Genomic DNA, 26,682 nt, shown 5'->3' on the forward strand with positions numbered 1-26,682 from the left:
AGGACAAAAGGCCAAATGTTATTTATTTATGTATTTATTTATTTTTTATTTTTTATTTCTTTTAAGATGAAGTCTCACTCTGTCTCCCAGGCTGGAGTGCAGTGGTGTGATCTTGGCTCACTGTAACCTCTGCCTCCCGGGTTCAAGCAATTCTCGTGCCTCAGCCTCCAGAGTAGCTGGCATTACAGGCGCCTACCACCATATCTGGCTATTTTTTTTGTATTTTTAATAGAGACGGGGTTTCACCATGTTGGCTAGGCTGGTCTTGAACTCCTGACCTCAAGTGATCTGCCCGCCTTGGCCTCCCAAAGTGCTGGTATTATAGGCATGAGCCACTGCGCCCAGCCCAAATGCTTTTAAAATATATACCTATTGTTTTAGTCACTTAGGAAATAACAAGGGCTATGGCACTTATCAACCAGGAAGTGTGAACAAAAACCAATATAAATATATCATAACATCACAACATCCAAGCCCAATGTGCCATTACAATGTTGGCTGGAACATCGTGCACTACTTATAAAAATGGGCCTTGGCCAGGTATGGTGGCTCACGCCTGTAATCCCAGCACTTTGGGAGGCCGAGGCAGGTGGATCACCTGAGGTCAGGAGTTCAAGACCAGCCTGACCAACATGGATAAACCCCATCTCTACTAAAAATACAAAATTAGCTGGGCGTGGTGGTGCATCCCTGTGGTGCATCCCTGTAATTCCAGCTACTTGGGGGGCTGAGGCAGGAGAATGGCTTGAACCCGGGAGGCAGAGGTTGCGGTGAGCTGAGATCATGCCATTGCACTCTAGCCTGGGCTACAAAAGCGAAACTGCATCTCAAAAAACAAAGCAAAACAAAACACCCCAAAATGACTGAGTTCTGGGAGCTTCTGAATATCTGCACGCGTGGAGGTTCCTGGAGGGTGGTACACCTGGAGGGGGCATGGAAGCTCCGCACCCCTTCCCCCATACCTTGCCCTATGTATCTCTTCATCTGTATCCTTTGTAATATCCTTGATAATAAACTGGTAAATGTGTTTCCCTGAGTTCTGGGAGCCCCTCTAGCAAGTTTTTTTTTTTTTTTGAGACGGAGTGTCGCCCAGGCTGGAGTGCAGTGGTGCAATCTCATCTCACTGCAAGCTCCGCCTCCTGGGTTCATGCTATTCTCCTGCTTCAGCCTCCGGAGTAGCTGGGACTACAGGTGCCTGCCACCACGCCCGGCTAATTTTTTTGTATTTTTAGTAGAGACGGGGTTTCACCGTGTTGGCCAGGATGGTCTCGATCTCCTGACCTCGTGATCTGCCCGCCTTGGCCCCCCAAAGTGCTGGGATTACAGGTGTGAGCCACCGCGCCCGGCCCCCTCTAGCAAATTAAATGAACCAAAGGAAGGGGTGGTGGGAACCCCGATGTATAGCTTGTCGGTCAGAAGCACAGGTGACACAACCTGGGGCTTGCCATTGGTATCTGAAGGTGGGGGCAGTCTTGGGGACTGAGCCATCAACCTGTGGGATCTGAAGCTATCTCCAGGTAGAGAGTGTCAGAATTGAATTGAATAGAATTGGAGGACACCCAGTTGGTGTCCACTGCAGAACTGATTGCTTGATTGCTGGTGGGGAGAAATCCCCACATATTTTGGGGTCACGGAAGTCTTCTGTGTTGATTGTTGTGTGAGACCAGAGAAAAGACAGTTTGTGTTTTTTCCACTCAGACTTTGGCTTGCTAGAAAACAAATAGAGAAGCCGGGCGCAGTAGCTCATGCCTGTAATCCCAGCACTCTGGGAGGACGAGATGGGTGGATCACCTGAGGTCAGGAGTTTGAGACCCATCTGACCAACATGGTGAAACCCCGTCTCTACTAAATACAAAAAATTAACCAGGCATGGTGGTGCATGCCTGTAATCTCAGCTACTCTGGACGCTGAGTCAGGAGACTCGCTTGAACCCGGGAGGTGGAGGCTGCAGTGAGCTGAGATCGCACAACTGCACTCCACCCTGGGCAAGACAGAGTGAGACTCCGTCTCAAAAAAAAAAAAAGAAAAAGAAAAAAGAAAAAAAGAAAAGAAAAAAGAAAAAGAAAACAAATGGAGGCCCCAGCTTGGAGTTCATTGCCATGCCTGCTCTAGCCCCAGCAGTAAGAATTGCTTCTTACTGGACTCAGCGTCAGCAGTGCAATTCTTACTGCACTGATTTAGTGAGCATGACTTAGCGATCACTCAGACAACTGCTCTCCCACGTGAGGATGGTGAAAAAATGACGCTGCAGCCAGCGTCAGAAGTTTCGTTTTATAAGCAGTCGTGCTGTGCTGTGCTGGCAATGGTGCCCTGTGGTTACCACTTTCTTACAGAGCTCACAGAAGGTGTGCTTCAGCTTTGGGATGCTGAGATGAATGGGCTTTGGAGAGAATTTGACAGTTCAAAAAAAACACTTCCGTTTTTAGACATGCATATTTAGCTGTTTGGGAATGCAATTGTTTCCTTCTTGAATGTCAAATATAAGAGTGCTACAGGCCGGGCACGGTGGCTCACGCTTGTAATCCCAGCACTTTGGGAAGCTGAGGCAGGCAAATCACTTGAGGTCAGAAGTTTGAGACCAGCCTGGCCAACATGGCAAAACCCCGTCTCTACTAAAAATACAAAAATTAGCCGGACATGTTGGCGGGTGCCTGTAATCCCACCTACTCGGGAGGCTGAGGCACGAGAATCACTTGAACCTGGGAGGTGGAGGTTGCAGTGAGCTGAGATCATGCCACTGTTCTCCAGCCTGGGTGACAGAGTGAGACTCGGTCTCAGAAAAAAAAAAAAAAAAAAAAGAGTGCTACAATCACATGACCATATTTGTGCTGAAATCCTGTTTCTTACTATCATTCCCATTCCATTTCGTTGAGACTTGTAACCGAAAGAGGGTCAGGTTGCTTGCCACTTGCAGAAAGAAGCCAAAATAAGAGCAAGGTGTGTTAAAAAGAAAGTAAATTTCATTATCCGTTGCTAGCAAGGAAAGGCTGGCCAGAATCCTTTCCAAAAATTGCCATTTTCCAATTTCTGGAGAGGGGGCCCTGGTTTAAGAAGAGGGGCTTGGACTGCAGAAGAGGCACGGGGGGCTAGGAGGTACCAGGTGGCATGTCTCGCTCCAATGGCTTCTTTTGAATTATTGTTCCATCTGCTGAAGGGGCCAGCACCATCATGAGTCCACGCAGCTCACAAATCAATCGCAGTCAATCTCTAGCTGAGAGTGAACTCCAGCCTTGAAGTAACCTCCTGCTGAGGAGAGAATTCCAGGGATATCTGGTCCGTGTCAGAATTCAGCTCTGGAAACTTCTAAGGAAATCTATAACCAGATAAGTGAGCATGGTGTGAGTTTAGCAAGCATCCAGGTAAATAAGTGTGCATGACACATGAGAGCATAATGTTGGAAAGGGAAGGGCGTTTGAAAGCACGTTTCGTAAGACCAAAGAAAACACACCTGCAGTTTGTCTCAAAGCTACGTCTTGAGACTGAGGAGAAAGGAGGAAAGGAAAACAAGTTTTTAAAACACAGTTTGAAGCTAAGCTGGGTCTAACTCTATTGCCCAGGCTGGAGTACAGTGGCGCAATCACGGCTGACTGCAGCCTCGACTTCCCAGGACCAAGTGATCCTCCCACCTCAGCCTCCTGAGTAGCTGAGACTACAGGCATGAACCACCACACCTGGCCAATTATGTATTTTAGTAGAGACAGAGTCTCACCATATTGCCCGGGCTGGTCTCGATCTCCTGGGTTCAAGGAATCTGCCTACCTCAGCCTCCCAAAGTGCTGGGATTACAGGCATGAGCCACCCCACCTGGTCTCTTTTTCCCTCTTGTTTTTAAAAGATATTTGAAATTTAGCTTTATATTCTGGCCAGGCACAGTGGCTCATACCTGTAAACCCAGTGCTTTGGGAGGCCGAGGCAGGAGGATTGCTTGAGCCCAGGAGTTTGAGACCAGCCTGAGCAATATAGTGAGACCCCATCTCTACAAAAAATTAACAAAAAGTTAGCCGGGCATGGTGGTGTGCGCCTGTGGTGGCCCAGCTACTCAGGAGGCTGGAAATGGGAGGGTCACTTGAGTCCTAGAAGCCGAGGTGCAGTGAGCTATGATCACGCCACTGCACTCCAGGTAGGCAACAGAGACCCCGTCTCTACAAAAAAGAAAAAAAATGGTCACAGCCATGCATCAGCAGATGTCCAATAATTCCAATGATAGCTGTAATAGTAAGAAAATGACAGGCCCGGCCGAGCGTGGTCGCTCACGCCTGTAATCCTGACACTTTGGGAGGCCGAGGAGGGCGGATCATCTGAGGTCAAGAGTTGGAGACCAGCCTGGCTAACATGGTGAAACCCTGTCTCTACTAAAAATACAAAGAATTAGCCGGATATGGTGGCGGGCACCTGTAATCCCAGCTACTCAGGAGGCTGAGGCATGAGAATTGCTTGAACCCGGGAGGTGGAGGTTGCAGTGAGCTGAGATTGCACCACTGCACTCCAGCCTGGGCGAGAGAGTGGGACTCCATCGCAAAAAAAACAAAAAACAAAAAACAAACAAACAAACAAAAGACCGGACGCTGGATTACGCCTGTAATCCCAGCACTTTGGGAGGCTGAGGCGGGCGGATCACAAGGTCAGGAGATCGAGACCATCCTGGCTAACACAGTGAAACCCCGTCTCTACTAAAAATACAAAAAAAAAATTAGCCGGGCGTGGTGGCAGGCGCCTGTAGTCCCAGCTACTCAGGAGGCTGAGGCAGGAGAATGGTGTGAACCTGGGAGGCGGAGCTTGCAGTGAGCGGACATCGCGCCACTGTGCTCCAGCCTGGGTGACAGAGAGAGACTCCGTCTCAAAAAAAAAAAAAAAAAGAAAATTAAAAAGAAAATGACAGGCTAGGCGTGGTGGCTCACACCTGTAATCCCAGCACTTTGGGAGGCCCAGGTGGGAGGATAGCTTGAGCCCAGGAGTTCGAGACCAGCCTGGGCAACATAGTGATATGGTTTGGCTGTGTCCCCACCCAAATCTCATCTTGAATTCCGACGTGGGAGGTAACTAAATCATGGGGGTAGGTCTTTCCCATGCTGTTCTCGTGATAGTGAATAAGTCTCACAAGATCTGATGGCTGTAAAAAGGGGAGTTTCCCTGCATATGTGCACCTCTCTTTGCCTGCTGCCATCCACATAAGATGTGACTTGCTCCTCCTTGCCTTCCTCCATGCTTGTGAGGCTTCCCCAGCCACGTGGAACTGTAAGTCCAATTAAACCTCTTTCTTTTGTAGCTTGCTCAGTCTCTGGTATCTCTTTATCAGCAGCATGAAAGCGGACTAATACATATAGTGAGACCCTATCTCTACAAAAAATACACACATTAACTGGGTGTAGTGGCACGTACCTTTGGTCCCAGCTATTTGGGAGGCTGAGGTGGGAGGATCACTTGAGCTTGGGAGGTTGAGGCTGCAGGATTGCACCACTGCACTCCAGCCTGGGAGACAGAGTGAGATCCTATCTCAAAAAAAAAAAAAAGAAAAGAAAAAGAAAAAAGAAAAACAAAAAAACCAACATGTCCTTAAGGGAGCCCTGAGATGGCAATTCCCTCTGTTCTCAGGGTGGCAGGGCAGGGGCCCTGGAATAGTCAACTCTAGATGTTTCAAGAGGGCACCCAGTGTGGTAGACTCTGGCTGTGTCTCCCACACTCCCCACAGGTGGTGAGCACGAGTGACCAACTGGCCAAGGAGGGCTCTGCCATTAGACACTATTTCAGTGCCCCTTCTCATCATGGACAAGGGTCCACAGAACTGCCGGGGGCAGAAGGTTCTTCCAGGTTCCCAAAGGCTCAGGGCAGATCAAGGTGTAGCCAACAGATAGGGATGGGAAGAGGTGGCCTGGTAGGGCGATACCTCCACACCATGCCCTGAAACACCATCACCACACAGATCAGAAACCTCTGTCTTTTTGTGGCTGGTACGTAATTTTTTTTTTTTTTTTTTTTTGAGACGGAGTTTCGCTCTTCTTGCCCAGGCTGGAGTACAATGGTGCAATCTCGGCTCACCGCAACCTCCACTACTGGGTTCAAGCAATTCTCCTGCCTCAGCCTCCCAAGTAGCTGGGATTACAGGCATGCGCCACCACGCCCAGCTAATTTTTGTATTTTTTTAGTAGAGACAGGGTTTCTCTGTGTTGGTCAGGCTGGTCTCGAACTCCCAACCTCAGGTGATCCACCCACCTTGGCCTCCCAAAGTGCTGGGATTACAGGTGTGAGCCACCGCGCCCAGCCTGCTGGTGTGTAATTTTATGGTGCCCAAGCCAACTGCAGCACGGCTGCTCTCATAATGCAGGTACCTCTGCAAATTAGACCTTCATCATTGTTTTGAAATGTCTAATAGGAAAAGATAGTTCAGATTCAAAATCCATTCACATTACATAAGAAATGTAAACATTCCACTTGTCCACAAAAGAAAGAGCTGTCAGATTCTTAGTTTTTTTGTTTTTTGTTTTTTTTGTTTTTTCCGGACAGGGTCTCACTCTGTCGACCAGGCCAAAGTGCAGTGGTACTATCTCGGCTCACTGCAGCCTCTGCCTCCTGGGTTCAAGTGATTCTCCTGCCTCAGCTTCCTGAGTAGCTGGGATTACAGGCACGTGCCACCATGCCTGGCTACCAGGTTCTTTAAATATAATATCAACTGTTGCAAAATTGTAAATGGATGATAAAAAATGTTAAACGTTAACTTGTGCTAACACAACTTCCCCTTGATGGTAGCTATCAAGCATTTGAAGTTGGTCGGGTGCGGTGGCTCAAGCCTGTAATCTCAGCACTTTGGGAGGCTGAGGCGGGTGGATCACCTGAGGTCAGGAGTTCGAGACCAGCTTGGCCAACATGGCAAAATCCCGTCTCTACTAAAAATACAAAAATTAGGTGGGCGTGGTGGTGTGCATCTGTAGCCCTAGCTACTCGGGAGGCTGAGGCAGGAGAATCGCTTGAACCTGGGAGGCAGTGACTGCAGTGAGCCGAGATCGTGCCATTGCACTCCAGCCTGGGCGGCAGAGCGAGACTCAAGTCTCAAAAAATAAAAAAGTATTTGAAGTGTTCAGCAGTTCAGCATAAGTCCAGGTCAGAAATTGCCACTGTAAGCATAAAACCTCATATAAAGAGTTTTGTTACACTCCTTGGTGTTTACCCAAACGACTGGAAAACTTATGCCTACACAAAAATCTGCACACAGATGTTTATAGCAGCTTTATTCATAATTGCCAAAGCTTGGAAGCAACCAAGATGTCCTTCAGTAGGTGAATGGATAAATAAACAACTGTGGTATAGCCAGACAGTGGACTAGCACTAAGTAGAAATGAGCTCTCAAGCCATGAAAAGACATGAAGGAAACTTAAATGCATACTATCAAGTGAAGGAAGCCAATCTGAAGAGGCTACGTGCTGTACGATTCCAACTACTCTATGTGACACTCTTGAAAGAGCAAAACTGTGGAGATAGTAAGAAGATCACTGGCTGCCAGGGGCTAGCCGGGAGGGAGGGATGAACAGCTGGACCACAGGGGATCTTTAGGGCAGTGAAAATACTCTGGGCTGGGCACACTCGCTCATGCCTGTAATCCCACCACTTTGGAAGGCTGAGGTGGGAGCATTACTTGAGCCCAGGAGTGTGAGACCAGCTTGGGAAACATGGCGAGACCCCGTCTCTACAAAAAACAGAAAAATTAGTGGGGCATGGTGATGTGCGCCTGTGGTCCCAGCTACTTGGGAGGCTGAGCTGGGAGGACCACCTAAGCCCAGGAGGCAGAGGTTGCAGTGAGCCATGATTGCACCACTGCACTCCAGCCTGAGCAACAGAGCGAGACCCTGTCTCAAATAAACAAAACAAAACAACGAAAAAGAAAAAATACTCTGTATAATACTATGATGCTGGACATACATAATCATACATTTGTCCAAACTCACAAAATATATAACACCAAGAGTAAACCCTAACGTAAACTGTGGACTCTGGGTGATGATGATGTGTTGATGCAGGTTCATCAATTGCAACAAATATACCACTCTGGTGGGGGATATTGATAATGGGGGAGGCTGTACCTGTCGGGAGTCAAGGGGGTATATGGGAAATCTCTGTATCTTCTGCCCACTATTGCCATGAAACTAAAACTGTTCTAAAAAATATAAAGTTGGCTGGGCACAGTGGCTTACACCTGTAATCCCAGCACTTTGGGAGGCTGAGGTGGGCAGATCACCTGAGGTCAGGAGTTTGAAACCAGCCTGGCCAACATGGTGAAACCCATCTCTACTAAAAGTACAAAAATTAGCTGGGCATGGCCAGGCACGGTGGCTCACACCTGTAATCCCAGCACTTTGGGAGGCCAAGGCGGGTGGATCACCTGAGGTCAGGAGTTTGAGACCACCCTGACCAACATGGTGAAACCCCGTCTCTACTAAAAATACCAAAACTAGCCGGGCATGGTGGCACATGCCTGTAATCCCAGCTACTCAGGGGCTGAGGCAGGAGACTTGCTTGAACCCAGGAGGCGGAGGTTGCTGTGAGCCGAGATCGCGTCATTGCACTCCAGCCTGGGCAACAAGAATGAGACTTTGCCTCAAAAAAAAAAAAAAAAAAACAAAATTAGCTGGGCACGGTGGTGTGCGCCTGTAATCCTAGCTACCCGGGAGGCTGAGGCAGGAGAATCACTTGAACCTGGGAGGTGGAGGTTGCAGTGAGTTGAGATCATGCCACTGCACTCCAGCCTGGGCAACAGAGTGACTCCGTCTCAAATATATATATATATATATATGTGTGTGTGTGTGTGTGTGTGTGCGTGTGTATAGTTTGGCTGGGCATGGTGGCTCACACCTGTAATCCCAGCACTTTGGGAGGCTGAGGTGGGCAGATCACTTCAGGCTAGGAGTTCGAGACCAGCCTGGCCAACATGGCAAAACCCTGTCTCCACTAAAAATACAAAAATTAGCCAGGCATGATAGTGGGCACCTGCAATCCCAGCTACTTGGGAGGCTGAGGCAGAAGAATTAGAATTGCTTGAATCTGGGAGGTGGAGATTGCAGTGAGCTGAGATCCTACCATTGCACTCTAGCCTGGGCGACAGAGCAAGACTCGGCCTCAAAAAATAAAAATAAAAATAAATAAATAAATAAAATTAAAGGCCGGGCACGGTGCCTCACACCTGTAATCCCAGCACTTTGAGAGACCGAGGTGGGCGGATCACCTAAGGTCAGGAGTTAGAGACCAGCCTGACCAACATGGAGAAACCCCGTCCCTACTAAAAATACAAAATTGGCCAGGTGTGGTGGTGCATGCCTGTAATCCCAGCTACTCGGAGGCTGAGGCGGGAGAATCGCTTGAATCCAGGAGGCCAAGATTGCACCATTGCATTCTAGCCTGGGCAACAAGAGTGAAACTCCATCTCAAAAAAAAAATTAATTTATATATATATATATAAAGTTTATTAAAAGGAAAAGTTATGGGTTGGGTGTGGTGGCTCATGCTTGTAATCCCAACATTTTGGGAGGCCAAGGTGGGAGGATCACTTGAGGCCAGGATTTTGAGAACAGCCTGGGAAACATAGTGAGACTCCATCTGTACAAAAATTTTAAAATTTAGTCAGGTGCGATGCTGCATGGGTAGTCCCAGCTACTCGGGAGGCTGGGGCAGGAGGATCACTTGAACCTAGGAGTTTGAGGCTGCAGTGAGCTATAATGGCACCACTGCACTCCAGCCTGGGCAACAGAGTGAGACCCCCATCTCAAAAGAAAAGGAAGAAAGGAAGAAGGAAGGAAGGAAGAAAGAAAGAAAGAAAAGTTATGTTGATGGAAGCAAACTACAATCGATTGTTGAAAGGCTATTGGCTGGGTGCAGTGGCTCACGCCTGTAATCCCAGCACTTTGGGAAGCTGAGGCAGGCGGATCACTTGAGGTCAGGAGTTCGAGACCAGCTTGGCCAACATGGTGAAACATCGTTTCTACTAAAAATACAAAAATTAGCCGTGGTGGCGTGCACTTGTAATCCCAGCTACTCAGGAGGCTGAGGCAGGAGAATGGCTTGAACTCAGGAGGCAGAGGTTGCAATGAGCCAAGATCATACCACTGAACTCCAGCTTGGGTGACAGAGCCAGACTCTGTATCAAAAAAAAAAAAAAAAAAAAAAAAAAGCCACAAATTCCTCTCATCCTAATGTGCATACCATTGTGCAATCTCTGCCATTCATTCGTCCCATCCATCACTGAGGCTTATTTCTCCCCTCTCTCCATTCTCCCTTCACCTCTCTAGTCTGGGCTGGCTTTGCGACTTGCTTTGGTTAATAGAATGGGGCAGGAATGACTCAGGACTCTTACAGGTCAGTAAGTTTGAAGCTTCTGCCTTGATTCTCTTAGAAAACTCTAGGTGCCATATAAGGAGGCTCATCTAGCCTATTAGAGGATGAGGGGCAATCTTAGACATTTTAGGAGGAACTCCAGTCAAAACTGGCAGAGGAACTGCCCAATCCAATCACTGGAATGGTAAGAAATAGTAAACTATTGTTGCTTTGGGCCACTAAGTTTTGGGGTGGCTTGTTACACAGCCAAGCCTTAACTAAAGCACAAGCTCAATTTATCGTATCATTAAAAAATAAAAATATGCCAGGCGCGGTGGCTCACGCCTGTAATCCCAGCACTTTGGGAGGCCAAGGTGGGCGGATCACCTGAGGTCAGGAGTTTGAGACCAGCCTGATCAACATGGAGAAACCCCATCTCTACTAAAAATACAAAATTAGCCGGGCATGGTGGAGCATGCCTGTAATCCCAGCTACTCGGGAGGCTGAGGCAGGAGACTCTCTTGAACCCGGGAGGCGGAGGTTGTGGTGAGCCAAGACCATGCCATTGCACTCCAGCCTGGGCAACAAGAGTGAAACTCCGTCTCAAAAAAAAAAATAAAATAAAAATAAATAAATAAATAAAATTAATTAAATGAAAATATATAATGGGGGGGAGTAGGTGAGGATATAGGTGAAAAAAATTGGCCCTACATTGGTAATTTTTTTTTTTAAGACATGGTCTTGCTTTGTTGAAGTGGCAAGGTCACAGCTCACTGCAACCTCCTGGACTCAAGTGATCCTCCCACCTCAGCCTCCTGAGTAGGTGAGACTACAGACACGTGCCACCATGCCCAGCTAATTTTTAAATTGTTTTATAGAGATGGGGGGGCGGTCTCGCTATGTTGCCCAGGCTGGTCTCGAACTCCTGGGCTCAAGTAATCGGCCTGCCTCAGTCTCCCAAAGTGCTGGGATTACAGGTGTGAGCCACCACACCTGGCCTACATTGGTCATTGTTGAAGGTGAGGATTTGTTATCTACTTATCTACTTTTATGTATGTTCGAAATTTCTCATAATAAAAAGTTAAAAAAGCAAAAGAGGGGGTTGGAAAGATTTCATTAGAAAATGTTATACACATGCTTGGTATTTCACACCTTTCCTAATAGTCTGTATTTAATTTTCTTTTTATGTTGCTTTTTGTTTTTAAATTTTTACCTAGTTAACATTTTTTTTTTTTTTTTTTTGAGACGGAGCCTCGCTCTGTCGCCCAGGCTGGAGTGCAGTGGTGTGATCTCGGCTCACTGCAAGCTCCGCCTCCCGGGTTCACGCCATTCTTCCGCTTCAGCCTCCCGGGTAGCTGGGACTACAGGCGCCCGCCACCACGTTCGGCTAATTTTTTGTATTTTTAGTAGAGATAGTCACGTGTTAGCCAGGATGGTCTCGATCTCCTGACCTCGTGATCCGCCCGCCTCGGCCTCCCAAAGTGCTGGGGTTACAGGCGTGAGCCACCGCGCCCGGCCCCTAGTTAACTTTTTTTAAAAATTTCCTCCTTTTCCTTTTTTTCTCTTGAAGTTGAAGCCTTGGAGGTGCTTTTCATTCAGTTACAGAAAGCACCACCCCAGCTTAAAATGTATTTAATTTTATTTACAGGATTACATAATATACGGAAAATGAAATATATGTTTTTCCCACCGGGTCCCATTTTGACTCCCCCAATACCCTCCAGTTCATCCCGGAGTGCTGCAGATATCTATACATTTCCTGGATGTCTCAGGAGGTGAAAAAAAAAAAAAAAAAAAGGCAGGGAGGGAGCCCAACTGACTCTACATCCAGAAACCTCTCTCAAGGCAGCTCGTGCCCCCAGGCAGGATTCCAACAGTGCAGAAGCCCCCAGTCCCCAAGTCCGGGGTGGCAAGGACTTCCAGCCTCCCCGGGGAGCCACCTTGGCCCTCCCTCCCTCCTGCTGGCTGGGTGCCGCGCTGCGGGGCTGCTCAGGTTGGTAACTGTGCAAAGCCGGGGCCCGCCTGCTGGACGATGGGGGTTAGGGGGGTGGGGGTGCTGCGAGGTGCGACAAGGCTCTCCCTCGCTGCAACCACGGAAAAGGCGGATCAGCCTCCATTACAAACCGCTGTAGGAGGGGCCAGAAGCTTGGCCTGGCCAGACCGGGCCGTCGTTGAATCCCTGCATCCATCTTGCCCAGGTTCCCTGCTGAGTCCCCCGCTGGGCTGTGATCGTTGCGGATTTAAACACCACACTGTGGAAGCGGAGATGGCCCCGCGTGCACCGCTGAAGTGAAGGGGCTCGTGGCAAATGATGCGGGGGGACAGCGGCCAGAGCAGACCCCGGCGGGGTGGCCCGCCCGGGAGGTGGCTGAGGGTCCCCGGCTGCGGGGTGAGGGGCGGGACCGGGAGGCACACCCTCCGTGATCGCCACCAGAGGCCGCCTGGAACCCGAGTTTCAACCTCCCGGGGATCCTGTCCCGCTTCCCAGCGATGTTTGCCATGACTGCTGCGAGTTCTCCGACCTCGAGGCCACTCTCCTTTCCTTCCAAGGACGCCCAGAACCCGCGGAGGGAGGAGGGGGTGAGGGAGGAGGGAGAGAGGAGGCAGGAGGGAGGGAGGAAGGTGGCGGGGAGAAGAAGAGAGGGAGGGAGGAAAAGGAAGGAACTGCGTTGGCCTGTCGCCTCCGCACTGTAAGATTCTGGCACCCAGGGTCCCGGCCCCCTCTCCTGGGGCCAAACGTTCCGGTTCCCGATGCCAGGCTGCAGAAAAAATGAGCACACTGAACACGTGGACTAGCACATAAATAAGGTTATTACCTCCTTTTTATTTTTTGCACACTAATTAATAAACTACTGCAACGGAAAAAGAGAAAGCAGGCAGAATGCAAACAGCCTCTCGGTGGCTCTGTTATGTAGGAGGGAGGTATGGAGGCTGCTTGGTGGTCAAAGAATTCCTCCAATGCCCGCTCCAAAGCGGAGCCCTGCAACGGCCTTAAATCAAAAGGAAAGCGGGTGTCAGCAGCAAGCACAGAAAGTGGGGCCTAGTTCAGCCAGGAGCTAACACAATATTCCTGCTGGGGTGGGGATGGGGGCACGACTATTACAAAACTAGGGCCCCCTGAAAGCGCCCTGCCCCACCCAACACACACATTCACTTCCTTGTAGGTTTGCGCTGCAGGCAGCTTCCGTTGAACCATACCCGGACCTCCACCCACCATGACCAGAGCTGCTGGGGCTGGGAGCAGGCACCTGCCCCAAGCACTGGGCCACCAGCGTCCCCTTGCCCAGGAATTTAGGATTGGGGTACAGAAAGGGAAAACAGTGTCTATGGAAAGCGGGAGATCATCCTGTGTAAACAGGGGAGCTGGGGAGAGAGAGGCCACAGGGATTCTGCCTTCCGCCTCACTGCAGCATCCTCCCAGCATCTGTAACCATCCCTGTCTTCCGGTTCCCGAGGCACCCATGACCTATAACGTCCTTCTGGGGCTCAGTGAGCTAGAAACTTCTGTTACTTGCACCCAGCAGAGTTCTAAATAATATGCCCTCAAAACCAAGTTTGCTTTCTCATTTTACTTTTTTTTTTTTTAAATAGACTTTATTTTTTTCGAGCAGTTTTAGGTTCACAGCAAAACTGAGAGGAAGGTGCAGAGATTTCCCATATTCCTCGCTGCCCCTGCACAAGCACAACCTCCCCCCAGCAGCATCCCCCTCCAGATGAGCCTGCATGGACACATCATTATCACCCAGGAGCCACAGCTGACATCAGGGTTCACTGTCGCTATGGTACATTCTGTGGGTTTGGACTAATGCATAATGCCACACATCCACCATTATAGTGTCATACGGAGTATTTTCACTGCCCTACAAATCCGCTGTGCTTCACCTATTCATCCCCCCTCCCCACAACACCTGGTGGCTGCTGAATTATTTTTCACCTTCTCCATAGTCTTGCTTTTTCCAGAATGCCATATAGTTGGAATCATATAGTATGCAGCCTTTTCAGATTGGCTTTCGCTTAGTAATTCCTTTTACTTTTGCAGTAAAAGTTTCCTGCTTACGTTTTCCCAACCCTTCTCTCATTTAGTGTATGGTACATACACGGTACAACACATCTTCCAATTGAGGAAAAATCTCATTTCAGGCCTACAAAAAAATTAGAATCAAGTGTTTTTCCTTTCAGAAAAAGGAAATTAACATTTGTGGAAAACTTGAAATGAGAGATCCCGGCATTTCTATTTCCAGCCATAGTGCAACCTGTCTAAAGCGTTCTCTGATTCATCTTCCAGAGAGAGTTTTAAACACCTGGGGAAGCATGCGCAGAAAAGCGGTTTCCTCACCCAAGGATGGCCACGACCCTGTGGCCTGACACTCATGGCACGGTTCTGAGGGCTGCTCCCCTCTGCCCTGGCAGCGTGATTCCATCTGCCGTGACGAGAGTCCAGCGGCGCTCTGCATTGAAGCAAAGCCATGGAGCCCTGTTGCAGGAGCACCTGCAAACACTCATCGCCTCCTTATTTCTCCGGAGGTCATAATCATTGTGCCATTGGCAGGTGTTTCTCTCACTTAATCCCCACTCTGTCTCTGCAACCCTCTCCCATCAGCCATAATAACAGCAACAGCAGTTTAAATGTACTGACTGTTGAAAATGTTCCAGGCACCTTCCTTTTTTTAATTTAATTTTTTTGAGACGGAGTCTCTCTCTGTCGCCCAGGCTGGAGTATAGTGGTGCGATCTCGGCTCACTGCAACCTCCACCTCCCGGGTTCAAATGATTCTCGTGCTTTAGCCTCCTGAGTAGCTGGAATTACAGGCACTTGCCACCACATCCAGCTAATTTTTGTATTTTTAGTAGAGACGGGGTTTCACCATGTTGCCCAGGCTGGTCTTGAACTCCTGACCTCAGGTGATCCACCTGCTTCGGCCTCCCAAAATGCTGGGACTACAGGCATGAGCTACCGCGCCCAGTCTCCAGGCACCTTTCTAAGGGCTTTATTTTTATTTATTTACCTCTTTTTTTTTTTTGACAGAGTCTCACTCGTCACCCAGGCTGGAGTGCAGTGGCATGATCATGGCTCACTGCAGCCTCAACATCCTGGGCTCAAGTGATCCTCCCACCTCAGCCTACGGAGTAGCTGGGAGTACAGGTGGCACGTGCCACCACACCTGGCTAATTTTTGATGTTTTGCAGAGATGAGGGTCTCACTATGTTGCCCAGGCTGGTCTCGAACTCCTGGGCTCAAACCGTCTTCCTGCTTCAGCCTCCCAAAGTGTTAGGATTACAGGCGTGAGCCACTGCACCCAGTCTAGCACTTTTATTATTATTATTGTTGTTGTTGTTATTATTTTCTGTCTTTCTTTTTTTTTTTTTTTTTTTTTGAGATGGAGTTTTGCTCTTGTTGCCCAGGCTGGAGTGCAATGGTGCGATCTCGGCTCACCGCAACCTCCACCTCCTGGGTTCAAGCGATTCTCCTGCCTCAGCCTCCCGAGTAGCTGGGATTACAGGCATGCGCCACCACGCCCGGCTAATTTTGTATTATTAGTAGAGACGAGGTTTCTCCATGTTGGTCAGGCTGGTCTCTAATTCCCGACCTCAGGTGATCTGCCCGCCTCGGCCTCCCAAAGTGCTGGGATTACAGGCATGAGTCACTGCACCCGGCATTTATTATTATTATTTTCTTAGAGACGGGGTCCCACAATTCTTCTGCCTCGTCCTCTGGAGTAGCTGGGGCTATGGGTCTGCTTCATTGTGTCTGGCTTATTCTCATTTTTCAAGATTTAGTTAACTTGCTCAATATCACATACTAGTTGGGAGACAAAGTCAACACAGGTGGATCACTTAGCAAGGCAAATGGCTACAAGTCTTGTTTAATAAAGCACACATTCAGTCCAAGAAAGTTGAAGCCACAGAGTGTATGATGTAGTTATCTATGGAAAGGTCCCTGAAAGTAAGTGGTGAACCAAGTTTTGAAGATGTTCCATGATCAGGCATCCAACGGGAAGCTAAAACAATTTGCTGCAGATGTCCTGACTGACCATGGACCCTGGGGGTCTGTGTGTGATTCTCTTATCTTGGATTGCGGGGGCTCCAAGTCTATTTGCCAAAGACTTTTCTTTTTCTTTTTTTTTTTTTTTTTGAGACGGAGTCTCGCTGTGTCACCCAGGCTGGAGTGCAGTGGCACGATCTTGGCTCACTGCAACCTCCACCTCCCAGGTTCAAATGATTCTCCCACCTCAGCCTCTGGAGTAGCTGGGATTACAGGCAGGTGCCACTGCACCCAGCTAATTTTTGTATTTTTAGTAGAGACGGGGTTTCACCATGTTGGCCAGGCTGGTCTTGAACTACTGACCTGAGGTAATCCGCCCACCTCAGCCTCCCAAAGTGCTGGGATTACAGGCGTGAGCCACCGCCCAGCTATTTGCCAAAGACTTTTCAAGTACTATCGGCCAAAGTGGCAGAGCAGCTTGTACCAAAGCCTGGACTGCAGAGCTGTCAGTTGCTCAGAACTGGCAATCTCTGGTCTACTGGGCAATTGGGTCAGAGTAGCTCATTAGAATAGGGTGTGTGTTGCCTCCAAAATCCAATGACACCAAACATTGTGCCTCTTCCTTTTTTTTGAGGCAAGGTCTCACTCTGTTGCCCAGGCTGGAGTGCACTGGCACAAACACGGCTCACTGCAGCCTTGTCCTCCTAGGCTCAAGCAATCCTCCTGCTTCAGCCTCCTGAGTAGCTGGGAGTACAGGCACGTGCCACCACACCCAGCTGATTTTTTATTTTTTGTAGAGACAGATTTTGCTGTATGTTGCCCAGGCTGGTGTGCCTCTTTCTTCTTCTTCTTTTTTTTTTCTTTTCTTTTGTTTTGTTTTGTTTTTGAGATGGAGTCTCGCTCTGTTGCCCAGGCTGGAGTGCAGTGGCACAATCTCGGCTCACTGCAACCTCCGCCTACCAGGATCAAGCGATTCTCCTGCCTCAGCCTCCTGAGTAGCTGGGACTACAGGCACGTGCCACTACGCCCGGCTAATTTTGTGTATTTTTAGAAGAGACAGGGTTTCACTGTGTTAGCCAGGATGGTCTCAATCTCCTGACCTCATGATCCGCCTGCCTCTGCCTCCCAAAGTGTTGGGATTACAGGCGTGAGCCACCGCGCCCGGCCGCCTGTTTCTTAATGGTAGGTGGTACCGCCTGTCTTTCACTTTGGCAGTGACACCCCACCTTCCTCAAGGTGGTGGGAATGTCTGTAGGTGAATAGTGAATTCAGTTTTTGAAGAAGCCATCAGAAAAGTGAGGGAAGGGAGGGAGCGGCATTCCAGGCAGGACAGGGCAGAGGCATCACAATGGAGCTCAGCAGATTACAAAAGAGGAACTGTGGCAGGGAGTGGTGGCTCATGCCTGTAATCCCAGCACTTTGGGAGGCTGAGGCAGGCGGATTGCTTGAATCCAGGAGTTTGAGACCAGCCTGGGCAACATGGCGAGACCCGCATCTCTACAAAAATTTTAAAAAGTAGCTGGGTATGGTAGCTCATACCTGTAGTCCGAGCTATTTGGGAGGCTGAGGTGGGAGGATTGCTTGAGCCCAGGAGGTTGAGGCTGCAGTGAGCTGTGACTGCATTCCAGCCTGGGTGACAGAGCGAGACCCTGTCTCAAAATAAAAATAAAAATAAACAGTTTAGGCCCAGTGAGCCACTATTATCTGTTAGGGAAGGGTGAGAACCCTCCCAAATCCAAGTTCCCAGACACCAGCCAAGGGTCACCCTGGTACGCAGGCCTTTCTCAGGAGGACAGCCAGGCCTGCTGTGTCCATTCTTTTCTGCACAACCTGTTTTCCATGGGCCCATGAAGAATGTGCACAAGATGGTCACTGCAGTGCTGTTTGTAATGGCAGGGATCCCCAGGCGATTAGGTTGCCTGTCTCAGGGACTGTGGATAGGTAGATGCCCATCCTAGAATCCTAGACCTTTTTTTTTTTTTTTTGAGACGGAGTTTGGTTTTGTCACCCAGGCTGCAGTGGCGTGATCTTGGCACACTGCAACCTCCGCCTCCCAGGTTCAAGCGATTCTCCTGCCTCAGCCTCCCCAGTAGCTGGGATTACAGGCGCATGCCACCATGTCCAACTAATTTTTGTATTTTTAATAGAGACGGGGTTTTGCCATGTTGGACAGGCTGGTCTGGAACTCCTGACCTCAAGTGATCCGCCCACCTCAGCCTCCCAAAGTGCTGGGATTACAAGCATGAGCCACCGTGCCCGGTCCAATCCTGCACCTCTATTATGCAGTAATTAAAAGCAATGCATTAGGCTGGGCGTGATGGCTCACGCCTGTAATCCCAGCACTTTGGGAGGCTGAGGTGGGCGGATCACCTGAGGTCAGGAGTTCCAGACCAGCCTGGCCAACATGGTGAAACCCTGTCTCTACTAAAAGTCCAAAAATTAGCAGGGCATGGTGGCAGGTGCCTGTAATCCCAGCTACTCAGGAGGCTGAAGCAGGAGAATCACTTGAACTCGGGAGGTGGAGGTTGCAGTGAGCCGAGATCGTGCCACGGCACTCCAGCCTGGGTGACAAGAGCGAGAATCTATCTCAAAAAATAAATAAATAAATAAATAAATAAATAAATAAATAAATAAAAGCAATGCATTCTATGTATACATAGTAATGTACACACAGTAATGGAAATAGACCTGAAAAACTTAGTCCTTGGTGAGAGAAAGGTGAGAAACAAGGTGAAATATATAACCCAATACCATTAATGTAAACTCAAAATATATACATACAAAAATACATGCATACAGGTGCCACTGATAAAAATTTCAAAAGTAGGAAAACCAATCTATGTTGTTAGGAGTCCCATAGAAATTACCCTAGGGGCACAAGGCGCTTCTGGAGTGCTGGTCATTCTCATTCTTGAGCTGGGCACTGGCTACACAGGTATGTTCCCTTTGTGAAAATGTATCTAGCTGTACATGTATGATACATGCCTTTTTTTCCATAGGTATGTTACATGGCTATACCACTTACATTAACATAAAAAATAAATTCATGCAAAATAGCAGTATTCATTTTGCAAGTGCATATATGAAGGAACGAATACACAACAAAACAATTGCCTGTGGGGGGAGAGGTGAGTGGGAAATGGAAATCAAATGGTACGCACGCGTGCGCGTGCACAAACACACAAACACACACCCACGCCTTATGTGGATCAATGTTGTTAATATGCCACAAACAGAGAAGTATTATGTTTGACCCTCCGCACCTAAGGTTAAAACAAAAAGGCACGATTCAGAAGAGCTCTACTGGCCAGGTGCGATGGCTCATGCCTGGAATCCCAGCACTTTGGGAGGATCGCTAGAGCCAAGGGGTTCGAGACCAGCCTTGGCAACATAGGGTGACCCCATCTCTACAAAAAAAGTAAAAAAAAATTAGCCGGGCATGGTGGTGTGCACCTGTAGTCCCAGCTACCTGGGAGGCTGAGGTGGGAGGATGGTTTGATCCAGGGAGGTTGAGGCTGCAGTGAACTATGATTGTGCCACTGTAATCCAGCCTGGGCGACAGAGCAAGATCCTTTCTCAAAAAAAAGAAAAAAAAAAAAGAAGGCCGGGCGTGGTGGTTCAAGCCTGTAATCCCAACACTTTGGGAGGCCAAGGTGGGTGGATCACCTGAGGTCAGGAGTTCAAGACCAGCCTGGCCAACATGGTGAAACCTCATCTCTACTAAAAACACAAAAATTAGCTGGGCGTGGTGGCGGGAACCTGTAATTCCAGTTGCTTGGGAGGCTGAGGCAGGAGAATCACTTGAACCAGGAGGCAGAGGTTGCAGTGAGCCAAGATCGTGCCACTATACTCCAGCCTGGGTGACAGAGCAAGACTCTGTCTCAAAAAAAAAAAAAAAAAAAAAAAAGAAAGAAAGAAAAAGAAGAAAACCTCTACTGGTGATTCAGAGGTACCCACTGGAGAACTTGGTTTCTCTGGTTTCTTTGTGCTGTTTAAGTCTGTCTCCATCTCTCTAGTTTCCTATGGGGCTAGTGACCCCCATGCACACTCTCCCTGACCAGGAAGAGCTCCACGGCTTACCTAGCAGGGCTGAGATCCCACAGGGCCTGCCAGGCCCACCTTTCCAACTGCAGAGGCTGCTCAGGTCTATGACTACCCCTGATTGAGGGCGTTAGCAAGGAGGAAAGATGCGCTCTAAGCAATCAGGGGAAAGACTTTAGAGAGCTATGCAAATGCTCACACTGGAGCATGCATCAGAATCCCCTGGAGGGAATTCTGGGCCCAGAGTTTCTGAATAAGGCTGGGGTAGGACCTGAGAATCTGCATTTCTATCAGGATCCCGATGCTGCTGCTGGTCCTGGTCCCTGCAGGTCACCTTGAGAGCCAGGGATGCTGAGAAGGAAGAGGGGAAAGGCAGCTGAGGGCCTTTTCTAATTAGCAAGCTCTCCTCCCCAGGGCTTTCCTTGGGTTTCAGAACAAACCTCAGCTCTGGCTGCCCCTGGCTAGGTGGTGAGGGCTGACAGGGGAGCTAATCCCCACAGACAGTGCTGGAAGGTTTGCAAAGGGGAGACATGCGGGCTTTTGATTGTGAAACTTGGAGACATCAACACTCAACCTCTTTTTTTTTTCTTTTTGAGATGGGGTCTTGCTCTGTCACCCAGGCTGGAGTGCAGTGGTGTGATCATAGCTCACTGCAGTCTCGACCTCCTGGGCTCAAGCAATCCTCCTCCCTCAGCCTCTCAAGTAGCTAGGATTACAGGTGCATACCACCACATCCAACTTTTTTTTTTTTTTTTTTTTTATAATTTTGTAGAGACATGATCTCACTCTGTTTTCCAGGCTGGTCTCAAACTCCTGGCCTCAAGCGATCCTCCCAAAGTGCTAGGATTACAGGTGTGAGCCATCATGCCCAGTGCAACACCCGGCTCCTGCAATCAGCCGCTCCCTCCATCCCATGCAAGAGGCAATGGTCTGAGCTCTCAGTTGAGAAATGTGGGCCATAGCCAAATTCACTAAGGTGGCAGTGTCAGGGAAATGAGTGCACAACCAAGAAGCGGCCTCCCTCAGTGAGTACATGATGACTCCCCTAAAAAGGAACGGTTAGCCAAGGTCTAGATCAGGCCTCCTTAACTTTTTCACACAAAGGGCATGATAATATTTGTATGATTTATTTGGCAGTGTCTACAAGAGGCTTGGTAAAAATAGACTATTACATTTTCTTTATAGTATATAATTATGGTAATAAAAAGTATTGGAGATTACATAAATACTGAATTTGGCCCAGGCACGGTGGCTCACGCCTGTAATCCCAAAACGTTGGGAGGCAGAGGTGGGTGGATCACCTCAGGTCAGGAGTTCGAGACCAGCCTGGCCAACATGGCAAAACCCTGTCTCTACTAAAAATACAAAAAATTGGCTGGGCGCGGTGGCTCACGTCTGTAATCCCAGCATTTTGGGAGGCTGAGGCGGGCGGATCGCCTAAGGTTCGGAGTTCAAGATCAGCCTGGCCAGCATCATGAAAACTCATCTCTACTAAAAATACAAAAATTAGCTGGGCATGGTGGCAGGCACCTGTAATTCCAGCTACTCAGGAAGCTGAGGCAGGAGAATCACTTGAACCCGGGAGGCAGAGTTTGCAGTGAGCCGAGATCGTGCCATTGCACTCCAGCCTGGGCAACAGAGTGAGACTCTGTCTCAAAAAAATATATTAAAAAAAAATACAAAAAATTAGCCAGGTGCGGTGGTGTGTGCCTGTAATCCCAGCTACTTGGGAGGCTGAGCCGGGAGAATCACTCAAACTGAGGAGGCAGAGGTTGCAGTGAGCCAAGATGGCGCCATTGCACTCAAGCCTGAGCAAAACTCCATCTCAATAAATAAATAAATAAATACTGAATTTGCATAAAATTCAAATAAAATGACTATGACATTTACAGTTATCTGTATCTTGTGGCAGGCCTGCAGCGGTTCCCATACTCTGGTTGGGAAGATCTGCTCCAGAGCCCACGAGAATTTGCCTTAGCGCCAAGGTGGGCCGGCACTGCTGGGGGACCCAGTGCACCCTCCACAGCTGCTGGCCCGGGTGCTAAGCCCCTCACTGCCCGGGGCTGGCAGCGCCAGCCGGCCGCTCAGACAGTGGGCCCACCGAGCCCACGCCCACCCAGAGCTCACGCTGGCCTGCAAGTGCTCCATGCAGCCCTGGTTCCCGCCCGCGTCTCTCCCTCCACACCTCCCCGCAAGCTGAGGGAGCCGGCCTCGGCCTCGGCCAGCCCAGAAAGGGGCTCCCACAGTGCAGCGGTGGGCTGAAGGGCTCCTCAAGCATGGCCAGAGTGGGCGCCGAGGCCGAGGAAGCGCAGAGAGTGAGCGAGGGCTGTGAGGGCTGCCAGCATGCTGTCACCTCTCAACATCATCCATCAACTTTCACTTACATCTCAATGGTTGTCCCCACTCAGCTGCAGGGGAGGCTGGGAAACATCATTTTCTTGTCTGGGCACAATTCTGTCCCCAATAACATAGGGGGACTGTTAATAAGAGAGAAGGGGAGAAAGGGGATCAGTTAGGCATGTCTACCATTTTGCTAAGCAAACTTCCCACACAATAATTTGGTCTCCCCAGCTCCTTTATTTACAACAGGAGGGCTCTCAATGGGGAACCCTGATGCTCTGTGCAAGCAGGACGTGAAGGCTAAGGTAGGGTTGTCAGCTGCCTGGCTGAGTTTGAAGGTTTGCTCCAAAAACCCACAGTAAAGACCAGCAAAGACTGGGAGACTTATGGTTTCCAAATACTTAAGGAAATCTCAATCCATTCATTAGCTGACCACTAAGCTAACCCAGTGGACTTCAGTGGCCACACATGACAAAGAACACACAGAATTAGTTCAGAAGCAAACAAGAATAGACAGTAGTAACACAATGCACCCTGGAGGGGGAGAGAATCTGATTTCTAGAGTTATTCCATAATATTTCAAGGGTCCAATTTTCAGAAAGTTTATGGGACAAAAAGAAACTGAAGTGATGATAGTTGCAAACATCTGTGAAAATACTAAAACAACATAATTATACACTTTAAATGGGTGGATTGTATGGGTTTTTTTTTTGTTTTTTTTTTTAAAGACAGAGTCTTGCTCTGTCTCCCAGGCTGCAGTGCAGTGGCATGATCTCGGCTCACTGCAGCCTCGCCTCCCGGGTTCAAGTGATTCTCCTGCCTCAGCCTCCCTAGTAGCTGGGACTACAGGTGCCCACCACCACGCCTGGCTAATTTTTGTACTTTTAGTAGAGATGGGGTTTCGCCATGCTGGTCAGGCTGGTCTCGAGTTCCTGACCTCAAGCGATCCACCTGCCTCGGACTCCCAAAGTGCTCAGATTACAAGCGCGAGGCACTTCGCCCCGCCAGCGGTATGTAAATTATAAAGCTGTTTAGAAAAAAAAAAAAAAAGTGGGGCTGGGTGTGGTGGCTTACGCCTGTAATTCCAGCATTTTGAGAGGCCAAGGCGGGTGGATCCCTGAGGTCAGGAGTTCCAGACCAGCCTGGCCAACATGGTGAAACCCCATCTCTACTAAAAATACAAAAAATTAGCTGGGCGTGGTGGTGGACGCCTGTAATCCCAGCTACTCAGGAGGCTGAGGCAGGAGTATGGTTTGAACCCGGGAGGCGGAAGTTGCAGTGAGCCGAGATCGCGCCACTGCACTCCAGCATGGGCAACAACAGCAAAACTCTGTCTCAAAAAAAAAAAAAAAAGTAAAGAAAAGAAAAAAAGAAAGTGCCTCTTTGAGAGGTCAAGGTGGGCAGATTGCGTGAGCCCAGGAGTTTGAGACCAGTCTAGACAACATGGTGAAATCCCATCTCTACAAAAAAATACAAAAATTGGCCAGGCATGGTGGCTCATGCCTGTAATCCCAGCACTTTGGGAGGCCGAGGCAGGTGGATCACTTGAGGTCAAGAGTTCAAGACCAGCCTGGCCAACATGGTGAACCCTGTCTCTACTAAAACCACAAAAATTACCCAGGTGTGGTGACGTGAGCCTGTAATCCCAGCAACTTGGGAGGCTGAGGCAGGAGAATCACTTGAGTCCAGGAGGTCGAGGTTGCAGTAAGCCGAGGTCGTGCTCCTGCACTCCAGCCTGGGTGCTACAGTAAGACTCCGTCTGAAAAAAACACACATTGAGCAAAAATGCAAGATACAAAATAATATATACTACATGATTAGATTTCTATCTAACTGTAGAAAAGACAAATGTAATCTAGAGTGACAGCAGATCAGGCCAGATGTGGTGGCTCACACCTGTAATCCCAGTGCTCTGGGAGGCCAAGGCAGGAGGACTGCTTAAGGCTGGGAGCTCATGATCAGCCTGGGCAGCATAAAGAGACGCTAATGTTTATTAAATAGAGACCATCTCTATTTAATACAAATTAATTTTTAAAAAACAGAATGCCTGGGAGGTGCTGGGGAGACTTGTAATAGAGTTATGTGACAGCTGTCAGTGGTTTGGGTCACAGGAAGGAGAGAGGCTGTACTAAGGACATTATTTGGGTTTGATTTTTTTCAAGGACAGGGGAGATACGGATCCTGTTTACAGCCTGTGACAGTGATGTCTGGTGAAAGAGAGAAAGAAAACGTAAGAGGGACATGGGAAATCAAGAAACACCCAAGAGACAGGGAATGAGTAGGATGCGTTCAAGGGCTAGGTCAGCCTTGGGAAGGTGCATGACCACTCAGCCAGTTTGCTTCAGGAAGGATCTGATGGGCACATGGAGACACAAACACACACACACACACACACACACACACACACACACACCCCCAGAGGTGAAGGCAAGGCCAGTTCACCAGGCCTGGGAAGAGGAGGCCCCAGTGAACTGCTCTGTAGGAGCCTGGGGCTGGGGGAGAGCCACAGCTTTGAACCTGCTCTTAGGAAAAGCAGGGAGCCGCCTGGGATTGTCAGGCATAGAGCTGGAACTTATTAATCAGTAATGAAGCCAGTCAGCGCGTTTATGGATTCTACCCTAGCAACCTGGGAGCAAAGCAGAGGAATGAACATTTCAGATGCCAGTTCCCTCGCAGTCCCCTGGACCGTGCTGGCTTCTCCCTGCAACGCAGAATGTCTGGATGGGACTGTCCCTGGTGGGGTGGGGAAGTTGCTGTCCAGATGAGGCCTGGCCTGTGCTCTCCAGCAAGGTGCCCACCTCTCAAGGGCTTCTGCTTGTGTGTGTCTTAGCTGCTATGCACTTGGCCATCTTAGACCCCTGGCCAGGCCCTAGGTGTGTGTGGCGGTAGGTGGGACTGGATGCAGGGTGCATCTCCTGTGTTCACTGCCAGCCTCCAAGGTCCCTTTGCTCAAGGGGGAGAATGGGCAGAGGTTGCTGGGAGTTAGCTTCCTCCGGAGCCCTAACCTTTCATCTGCTTCTCAGTCATCCCCAGGGATTTACGAGAAAGCAGAGCCCCTGCTCTGAAGAAGGAAAACCCTCCCCTGAGGTGGCTTTCAGCCAGAGCCCCAGCACTTTTTATGCTTATCTGTCACATGACATCCTCCTCTGTTTAGTTTTTTCCACTTTTAATTATCTTATTATTGCAAGATTACATGCTTATTGTCAGACATTCAAACTATGTGGAAAGGCTGGGAATGGTAGCTCACGCATGTAATTCCAGCAATTTGGGAGGCTGAGGTGAGCGGATCACTTGAGGTCAGGAGTTTGAGACCAGCCTGGCCAACATGGTGAAACCCCGTCTCTACTAAAAATACAAAAATTAGCTGGGCGTAGTGGTGCACGCCTGTAATCCCAGCTGCTCAGGAGACTGAGGCAGGAGAATCACATGAACCTGGGAGTCGGAGGTTGCAGCGAGCCAAGATAATGCCACTGCACTCCAGCCTGGGCGATAGAGCGAGACTCAGTCTCAGAAAAAAAAGCCAAAAGCCCCACAAACTATGTGGAAAGATCCTTTCTATAGATAGATAGGCGTGGTGGTGTGCATCTGTAATCTCAGCTACTTGGGAGGCTGAGGCAGGAGAATCGCTTGAACCCAGGAGGCAGAGGTTGCAGTGAGCCAAGATTGTGCCACTACACTGTAGCCTGGGCGACAGAGCAAGACTTCTTTAAAAAAAAAAAAAAAATCAGACCAGGCGTGGTGGCTCACGCCCGTAATCCCAGCACTTCGGGAGGCCGAGGCGGGCGGATCACCTGAGATCGGGAGTTTGAGACCAGCCTGACCAACATAGAGAAACCCCGTCTCTACTAAAAATACAAAATTAGCGGGGCATGGTGGCGCACGCCTGTAATTCCAGCTACTTGGGAGGCTGAAGCAGGAGAATCACTTGAACCCAGGAAGTGGAGGTTGCAGTGAGCCAAGATCACACCATTTCACTCCAGCATGGGCAACAAGAGCGAAACACTGTCTCAAAAAAAAAGAATA

At 49.1% G+C, this 26,682-nt stretch overlaps 1 long non-coding RNA gene across 1 annotated transcript, besides 4 other annotated features; it reads left to right on the top strand.

Annotated features, from left to right (window-relative positions):
• LINC02601 (long intergenic non-protein coding RNA 2601) lies at nucleotides 12,145-13,184 on the top strand. The gene is made up of 2 exons (NR_135616.1): nucleotides 12,145-12,289; nucleotides 12,495-13,184. It is a non-coding gene; the product is annotated as a long intergenic non-protein coding RNA 2601 (long non-coding RNA).
• Nucleotides 12,231-12,731: an enhancer, noted in NCBI's record as "OCT4-NANOG-H3K27ac hESC enhancer chrX:41135078-41135578 (GRCh37/hg19 assembly coordinates)". NCBI's record gives its function as "activates a minimal SCP1, AML or CMV promoter by ChIP-STARR-seq in naive H9 embryonic stem cells {active_cell/tissue: H9 hESC(naive)}" and the evidence as "EXISTENCE:reporter gene assay evidence [ECO:0000049][PMID:30033119]".
• Nucleotides 12,231-12,757: a biological region, named in NCBI's record as "OCT4-NANOG-H3K27ac hESC enhancer GRCh37_chrX:41135078-41135578".
• Nucleotides 12,398-12,757: a silencer, noted in NCBI's record as "silent region_20773". NCBI's record gives its function as "represses an Ori minimal core promoter by ATAC-STARR-seq in GM12878 lymphoblastoid cells {active_cell/tissue: GM12878}" and the evidence as "EXISTENCE:reporter gene assay evidence [ECO:0000049][PMID:35858748]".
• Nucleotides 12,732-13,232: an enhancer, noted in NCBI's record as "OCT4-NANOG-H3K27ac hESC enhancer chrX:41135579-41136079 (GRCh37/hg19 assembly coordinates)". NCBI's record gives its function as "activates a minimal SCP1, AML or CMV promoter by ChIP-STARR-seq in naive H9 embryonic stem cells {active_cell/tissue: H9 hESC(naive)}" and the evidence as "EXISTENCE:reporter gene assay evidence [ECO:0000049][PMID:30033119]".

This window comes from Homo sapiens, chromosome X (assembly GCF_000001405.40).
Source record: "Homo sapiens chromosome X, GRCh38.p14 Primary Assembly".
NCBI lineage: Eukaryota > Metazoa > Chordata > Mammalia > Primates > Hominidae > Homo > Homo sapiens.